The sequence below is a fragment of the Homo sapiens genome, chromosome 17, assembly GCF_000001405.40.
Source record: "Homo sapiens chromosome 17, GRCh38.p14 Primary Assembly".
Lineage (NCBI taxonomy): Eukaryota > Metazoa > Chordata > Mammalia > Primates > Hominidae > Homo > Homo sapiens.
The window spans coordinates 53,752,115-53,760,788 of record NC_000017.11 but is presented as its reverse complement, the minus strand read 5'-3'; the positions used below and the strand labels follow the sequence as shown (position 1 = coordinate 53,760,788).

The window sequence follows — 8,674 nt, the reverse complement described above, 5'->3', positions numbered from 1 at the left end:
TTTAAAGTAGTTTTTTCCAATTCTGTGAAGAAAGTCATTGGTAGCTTGATGGGGATGGCATTGCATCTATAAATTACCTTGGACATTATGGCCATTTTCACGATATTGATTCTCCCTACCCATGAGCATGGAATCTTCTTCCATTTGTTTGTATCCTCTTTTATTTCATTGAGCAGTGGTTTGTAGTTCTCCTTGAAGAGGTCCTTCACGTCCCTTGTAAGTTGGATTCCTAGGTATTTTATTCTCTTTGAAGCAATTGTGAATGGGAATTCACTCATGATTTGGCTCTCTGTTTGTCTGTTATTGGTGTATAAGAATGCTTGTGATTTTTGTACATTGATTTTGTGTCCTGAGACTTTGCTGAAGTTGCTTATCAGCTTAAGGAGATTTTGGGCTGAGACAGTGGGGTTTTCTAGATATACAATCATGTCGTCTGCGAACAGGGATAATTTGGCTTCCTCTTTTCCTAATTGAAAACCCTTTATTTGCTTCTCCTGCCTAATTGCCCTGGCCAGAACTTCCAACACCATGTTGAATAGGTGTGGTGAGAGAGGGTATCCCTGTCTTGTGCCAGTTTTCAAAGGGAATGCTTCCAGTTTTTGCCCATTCAGTATGATATTGGCTGTGGGTTTGTCATCGATAGCTCTTATTATTTTGAGATACGTCCCATCAATACCTAATTTCTTGAGAGTTTTTATCATGAAGGGTGGTTGAATTTTGTCAAAGGCCTTTTCTGCATCTATTGAGATAATCATGTGGTTTTCGTCTTTGGTTCTGTTTATATGCTGGATTACATTTATTGATTTGCATATATTGAACCAGCCTTGCATCCCAGGGATGAAGCCCACCAAAAGAGATAAAGAAGGCCACTACATAATGGTCAAGGGATCAATTCAACAAGAAGAGCCAACTATCCTAAATATATATGGACCAAATACAGGAGCACCCAGATTCATAACGCAAGTCCTGAGTGACCTACAAAGAGACTTAGACTCCCACACAATAATAATGGGAGACTTTAACACCCCACTGTCAACATTAGACAGGTCAACGAGACAGAAAGTTAACAAGGATACCCAGGAATTGAACTCAGCTCTGCACCAAGAGGACCTAATAGACATCTACAGAACTCTCCACCCCAAATCAACAGAATATATGTTTTTTTCAGCACCACACCACACCTATTCCAAAATTGACCACATAATTGGAAGTAAAGCTCTCCTCAGCAAATGTAAAAGAACAGAAATTATAACAAACTGTCTCTCAGACCACAGTGCAATCAAACTAGAATTCAGGATTAAGAAACTCACTCAAAACTGCTCAACTACATGGAAACTGAACAACCTGCTCCTGAATGGGTACTGGGTACATAAAAAATGAAGACAGAAATAAAGATGTTCTTTGAAACCAATGAGAACAAAGACACAACATACCAGAATCTCTGGGACACATTCAAAGCAGTGTGTAGAGGGAAATTTATAGCACTAAATGCCCACAAGAGAAAGCGGGAAAGATCCACAATTGACACCCTAACATCACAATTAAAAGAACTAGAAAAGCAAAAGCAAACACATTCAAAAGCTAGCAGAAGGCAAGAAATAACTAAAATCAGAGCAGAACTGAAGGAAATAGAGACAAAAAAAACCCTTCAAAAAATTAATGAATCCAGGAGCTGGTTTTTTGAAAGGATCAACAAAATTGATAGACCGCTAGCAAAAAATAAAGAAAAAAAGAGAGAAGAATCAAATAGACGCAATAAAAAATGATAAAGGGGATATCACCACCGATCCCACAGAAATACAAACTACCATCAGAGAATACTACAAACACTTCTACACAAATAAACTAGAAAATCTGGAAGAAATGGATAAATTCCTCGACACATACACTCTCCCAAGACTAAACCAGGAAGAAGTTGAATCTCTGAATAGACCAATAACAGGCTCTGAAATTGTGGCAATAATCAACAGCTTACCAACCAAAAAGAGTCCAGGACCAGATGGATTCACAGCCGAATTCTACCAGCGGTACAAGGAGGAACTGGTACCATTCCTTCTGAAACTATTCCAATCAATAGAAAAAGAGGGAATCCTCCCTAACTCATTTTATGAGGCCAGCATCATCCTGATACCAAAGCCGGGCAGAGACACAACCAAAAAAGAGAATTTTAGACCAATATCCTTGATGAACATTGATGCAAAAATCCTCAATAAAATACTGGCAAACAGAATCCAGCAGCACATCAAAAAGAAACAGCTCAATTATTTTAATGGTGGAGTTCTAGGGTGAGGAGGACTGGATGCTTTTTTTTTTTTTTTTTTTTTTTTGTCTGTTTTGAAACGGAGTTTCACCCTTGTTGCCCATAATGGTGTGCAGTGGCGTGATCTCGGCTCACTGCAACCTCTGCCTGCCCAGTTCAAGCGATTCTCCTGTCTCAGCCTCCCGAGTAGCTGGGATTACAGGCACATGCCACCACGCCGGGCTAATTTTTGTTTTTTTAGTAGAGACGGGGTTTCATCATATTGGTCAGGTTGGTCTTGAATTCCTGACCTCAGGTGATCCGCCTGCCTCGGCCTCCCAAAGTGCTGGGATTACAGACGTGAGCCACCGCGCCGGGCCTGGATGCCTTTTTTTAGGGACTGACCAGGCAGGACTTGAGAAGAAGCCTTGGTCCTAAATAACGTTTCACTTCCCCAGGAGGACTGACTATGTGGTACTTCAGAATTTTTCCCATTTTCTTGCTTTTCTGACCTTGACATATCTCTATTGATTGCAACAAAGTAGCCAAATTAATTCTGAACATACAAATGAAATAGTGTTTTAATACTCTCACCTGTTTCTCAGAAAAAATGCAAGATATTTGAGGCTTTAAAAATTGCAAAACTAACTTCTTCTCCTAGAAAACACTAAATGGCGGATGACGCAGGTGCAGCTTGGAACCCGGAGGCCCTGGTGGCCGTCGGGGCCCTGGGATTGGGAACCGCGGTGGCTTCCGCGGAGGTTTCGGCAGTGGCATCCGGGGCCGGGGTAGCAGCAGTGGACGGGGCCGGGGCCGAGGCCGCGGAGCTCGCGGAGGCAAGGCCGAGGATAAGGAGTGGATACCCGTCACCAAGCTGGGCCGCTTGGTCAAGGAAATGAAGATCAAATCCCTGGAGGAGATCTATCCCTTCTCCCTGCCCATTAAGGTATCTGAGATCATTGACTTTTTCCTGGGGGCCTCTCTTAAGGACGAGGTTTTGAAGATTATGTCGGTGCAGAAGCAGACCCGTGCTGGCCAGCGCACCAGGTTCAAGGCGTTTGTTGCTATCGGGGACTACAATGGCCACGTCGGCCTGGGTGTTAAGTGCTCCAAGGAGGTGGCCACCGCCATCCGTGGGGCCATCATCCTGGCCAAGCTCTCCATTGTCCCCGTGCGCAGAGGCTACTGAAGGAGCAAGATCGGCAAGCCCCACACCGTCCCTTGCAAGGCGACAGGCCGCTGCGGCTCTGTGCTGGTGCGCCTCATCCCTGCACCCAGGGGCACTGGCATTGTCTCCGCACCTGTGCCCAAGAAGCTGCTCATGATAGCTGGTATCGATGACTGCTACACCTCAGCCCGGGGCTGCACTGCCACCCTGGGCAACTTCGCCAAGGCCACCTTTGACGCCATCTCTAAGACCTACAGCTACCTGACCCCCGACCTCTGGAAGGAGACTGTATTTACCAAGTCTCCCTGTCAGGAATTCACTGACCACCTCGTCAAGACCCACACCAGAGTCTTCGTGCAGCAGACCCAGGCTCCAGCTGTGGCTACAACATAGGGTTTTTATACAAGAAAAATAAAGTGAATTAAGCCTGAAAAAAAAAATTGCAAAAATACTGGTCTCATTGAAACAGTTCAATATTTTCAAATGACAAATATATAAATGGATTTTAACAGCATTACCATAAAGTTTCAGAAATAATTTGCTAATGTGAAAATGCAGAAGTTTGATTTTTTTCCAAAGACTCTTTCGTGTAATTAGGTTCAATAACTTAACTGACGATAGGAGGAATCTGTACCCTCTAATCCATTTAGTATTTTCATGTGATTTATTTCAGTGAGAATACTAGCCACGTCAAATGTAAATTCAAATGTCTTATTAACTATTTTAATGATATTAACATTTAATGTCTCTTTTCACATAGAATCAATCCCTTATGATGTAAAAAGTTTGCTTCGAAATTAAGACTTAACAGTTTTACCAAAAGTTGCCAATACATATTTGTAGATAGGGAAAAAATCTGAAAATTATAGTAGTGAAAAGTTTCTTGTTACTAGTATAATAATCATCAAAAGTTCTTTTCTATATTAGATTTCTCTGTTGAACAGTATTCCCTTCAAGTTATAGTGAAATAATAATAAACATTTTGGTGACCTTTTGAACCCTGCAAAATATTGAGGCTTGTTGTCAATGAGCACAAAAAATAAATCTCAGAATCTTACTGTGGTTTTGTACAGAGTCTGCATCAACTTAAAATGTTAGAAACTGCTGTTTAAAAACTAGCTCTTTAGCATTCTTTGACAATCAGTTTTGTATAAGCATGTAATTATTTTAGGTTTGTATCTCACCCATCTGTTTTCTTTTATTTATAGAAAACATATAAAAATCATGGAAAGAATCTCCTTTATTATCAAGTATTTCTGTTGGGATTTTTTAAAAGTTTCTAATTTATATTTGCTCATAGTTTTAAATTTTTTGTGTTAAAAGTATTCATATAAATGGCTTAAAAGTGAGAGCAAAAGCTGCAATTACTTTACACCAACCTAATACTATTATGTGACTTACAAAAAAAAAAATAAAAAACACGAAAACAGAAACAAAAACAAAATCACATTCTTGGTCTACCCCTTACATGCACCAATGTCTATCCACACCCTAACAAACACTCTCTTCTTTTTTATGGTAATTTTTGCTATTTATGTCTATATTTTCTAAAAAAAAAAGTCACATTAATATTTCTTATTTTTTTCAATTAGATAATATCTCTTCCCATTCTTCCATGAAAAAAATGATTTAACATACACATAATAACATTATTCACTGTTGCCCATACAGAGGTATTTCCCTTTCTCCATTTCCTCAATATAGTTATATGACAGTCTGTGGTTTAATCAATAGTCTTCTTCTCTTCGCTAAGAAGACATTATACTCAGTTTTATCATATTGTATACTAAGATCACACAGTGTTTCTTGTAAATGTTGTTTCCTTTAGCATTAATAATTGTCTATTCATAGCTATTTCCGTATATCTATCATTGATTCTTCTCTTAAATTCTTAACACATATTTATTTATTTATTTTTAGGAGATGGGGTCTCACTCTGTCATCCAGTCTAGAGTGCAATGGTGTGATCATAGCTCATTGCAGCCTCAAACTCCTGGGCCCAAGCAATTCTCTTGTCTGAGACTCCCAGGTAGCTGGGACTACAGGTATGCACCACCATGCCTATTCTTCTCTCAAATTTTTTACCAAAAAGGTAACACTCATTCCACATAGTCAAATACATCAGATATTCTACTAATTCTATTGATTTTCCAGTGGAACTGTCATTCCTGGAGTCCTCTACCGTTTGCCTTACACTGGATGGATTAGCTCTTGTGCAGCTCCTCCTGGGACCAGCTTTGACCTTCATCGTGGAAACTGTCTTTTCTTGTCTTTTATGCAAAATATAAACCTTGCCCTTTACTTCACACCCTATATAAATATTAACTTCAAATGGATCATAGATTTACATGAAAGGATTAAAACCATAAAACTTCTAGAATATAACAGTAAAAAATAGTGACTTTGGTAAAGAGCTATTTAATAGAGCATTAAAAGCATGGACTATAAACAAGAAAATGGATAAATTAAAACTCATTGAATTTTTTTAATGGTCTTCAAAAGATATTCTTAAGATAATTAAAAGGCAAATCACAGGCTGGGAGAAAGAATTGCAATATATATACACACACATATATATGCTATATATATATATACACACACACATATGCAATATGTATGTATATACACACACAAAAATACCAAGAATATATAAATGTACAAAGAATATATAAAATATATAGAGAATATATACAAAGAATATATAAAGAAAATATGAAAAAGCCTTACTACTAGAAAATATGAAGAAAAATCATTAAAAAATGGAGGGTAACAAAAGATTTGGACGCTTAAATGAAGATATACAAATGACACAAGAAAAGTTGTTCAATATTATTAGTCATTAGAGAAATGCAAGTTAAAACCATAATTAGACACTACTACTGGGCCAGTATTAATTTATTGCTTTTCAGCTGCACATTTGCCCTTCAGCACCAGCTGTGATATTGGACTGGCTATCTTAAGCATTCTTTTTTTACAGTGAGCAGAATGCTAAACATACTCAGTAGAGGGCATACACTGCCGGAGGAAGGGGCTTCTCTTGCTGGTTCTAGCTGCTGCACAGTTGCTCAGTGGTGCAATTGCGTGGCCGTCCTGTGCTGCTCCGCTCCAGCCTCGAGTCCAGACTTTGTCATCTCCAAACAGACCTGGAAATGTGTATCAAAATCAGGAATGATGATAAGGGAGGCTGAGAAAACTACTGAGGTCTAGGAAGAACGGCCCAGAGACGGAAGAGCTAGGATAACAAATAGTATGTTCTAGAGGAGTAAGTGAGAGAAATATCTCAGAAATTACCAGATATAAGGGATGCCTGTTCCTAATGAATTCTTGCTTGTTTATGGCTATATTTTCAGTGGGCTAAAACTGCTTAAAGATCTTTAGTTAAACAAGACAGTTCAACTAATTACTCAGATTCTTGAAGCTACCATGTGGCAGAAATTGGATTTGATCCTAGCACTAGTAGGTTCTGAAACCTGCCAACATTACAAAGATATTTAACAAACTATATTTTATAGAACACTTATTTTACTCAATTCCGATGGTTAGTTTATTGAGGAGTGTTTAGGGTGAGGTTTCATGAGCAAAGTTTGGGAAATTCTGATAAAATAGTGTTCTTTATTGAAATATTTTTAGGAATATACTGATTGTTATAGAGGACACATACACAACATGTAACAAATACATTTCACCTCCAAAATATTTTCTTAAAAGAAATGTTTTGGAGGACTCTTTGCTGCAGAACATAATTTGGAAAGTATTGCATTGCATCTTGTGACCCATTATGATGGCCTTATTAATTCTCCTTTCATGCTGTATAGGCGTAGCATTATGTCCTCAAAGCAGTTTCAATAAGAGAGCCACCATTTACTTACTCTGAGAATGGGAGATGTAAATTCTTTCATTTCTGTGTGATTTTGTAATACTCCATCCTCCTATAAACAGGCAGGAGAATCAAGCTAATAATCACTGGGAAAAGAAAATCTACATGGCTAATGGTTTCTTGAGCATGTGCTAATTGCTATTTCTTTTGCTGCCTTACTGGATACTTTATAAAATCTATACTGAAAGCTGTAGATTCTTCTACTGTATTGCTGCTTTATTTTTGACAGTTTCAGAGACTTCTAAGGATTTACAGGTCCTCTCCTCCTCTACTATTTATTTTTTTCTAAATAAAGCCACTTCTTCAGACTCTTCTAAAGTTTCTTCACAGTAGTTACTTAAGCTGGCTTGTCTATTTTCCTCTCAGTAGTTTTCAAGTGCTTAGAGATATAGTCTTTAACTGATAAAATCCTTTCAAAAAGTAATAGGTTTCAAGAGAGTTTGTAGCCCATTGAAGAGTAGTAAGAAGCAGCTCTAGAGAATGTAAACTGTATCCAATATATAAGGTGATGGTAATATTTTAGCAATTTTGTAAGCTATTTTATTAAATAAACACATTGGAAACAATTCTGGATATTTTTTAAAAGCATGTAATTTTACCACTTGAATTCAATAATGATTAGTGTCTTAGGATAATTTTTATCCTCAACGCATTTTTACACTTCTCTCTCTCGGAATTTCCTTCCAGTGTGGCATTCTGCTGTTTCACTTAAGAGCACATAAACATTTTTCCATGGTGTTTCATATTTCCCATGAACATAAGTTTAATGACTGAAGAATATTCCAGTGGTTTATTTAATTATTCCCTTTTTGAAGCATTTTAAGATTATTTTCTATTTTTTCTCTGCAAGTACTTCTGTAACAAACATATGGTATATAAAAGTTTTCCCCATATTTTGAACTCTTTATGATAGTTTCTTGTAAGTAAGATTACGGGGTCAATGGACATGAACACTTTTATGGCTCTTAATGCTTATAATCAAATTGCTTTCTAAGAGGTTGTACCAATTTACAGTGCTACTAACTACATATGAAAATCAGTCATTTTGGGCCATCTTAAATTTAGGCAATTCTCGATGCTAGTTTATGCATTTCTGTATTTCCAGTTTTTAATGGCATTATCTGTAATAGGGAATAATTAGGATATTAGTAAACAGACCACACAATCTGCTTTTGTTTCCCACCGAATCTGTATAGTAAATACAGTTGACCCTTGAACATTTTGGGGGTTAGACACACCAGCTCCTCCTGCACTGGAAAGTCCTTGTATAACTTTTGACTCCCAAGAACTTACCTAATAATAGATTACTGTTAACTAAAAGCCTTACTGATAACACAAACTGTTGATTAACAAGTAATGTGTATGCTATATGTATTACATACTGTATTCT

The 8,674-nt window shown here is 37.6% G+C and overlaps 1 pseudogene; it reads left to right on the top strand.

Moving 5' to 3' along the window:
- RPS2P48 (ribosomal protein S2 pseudogene 48) lies at window positions 2,888–3,837 on the top strand (annotated as a pseudogene).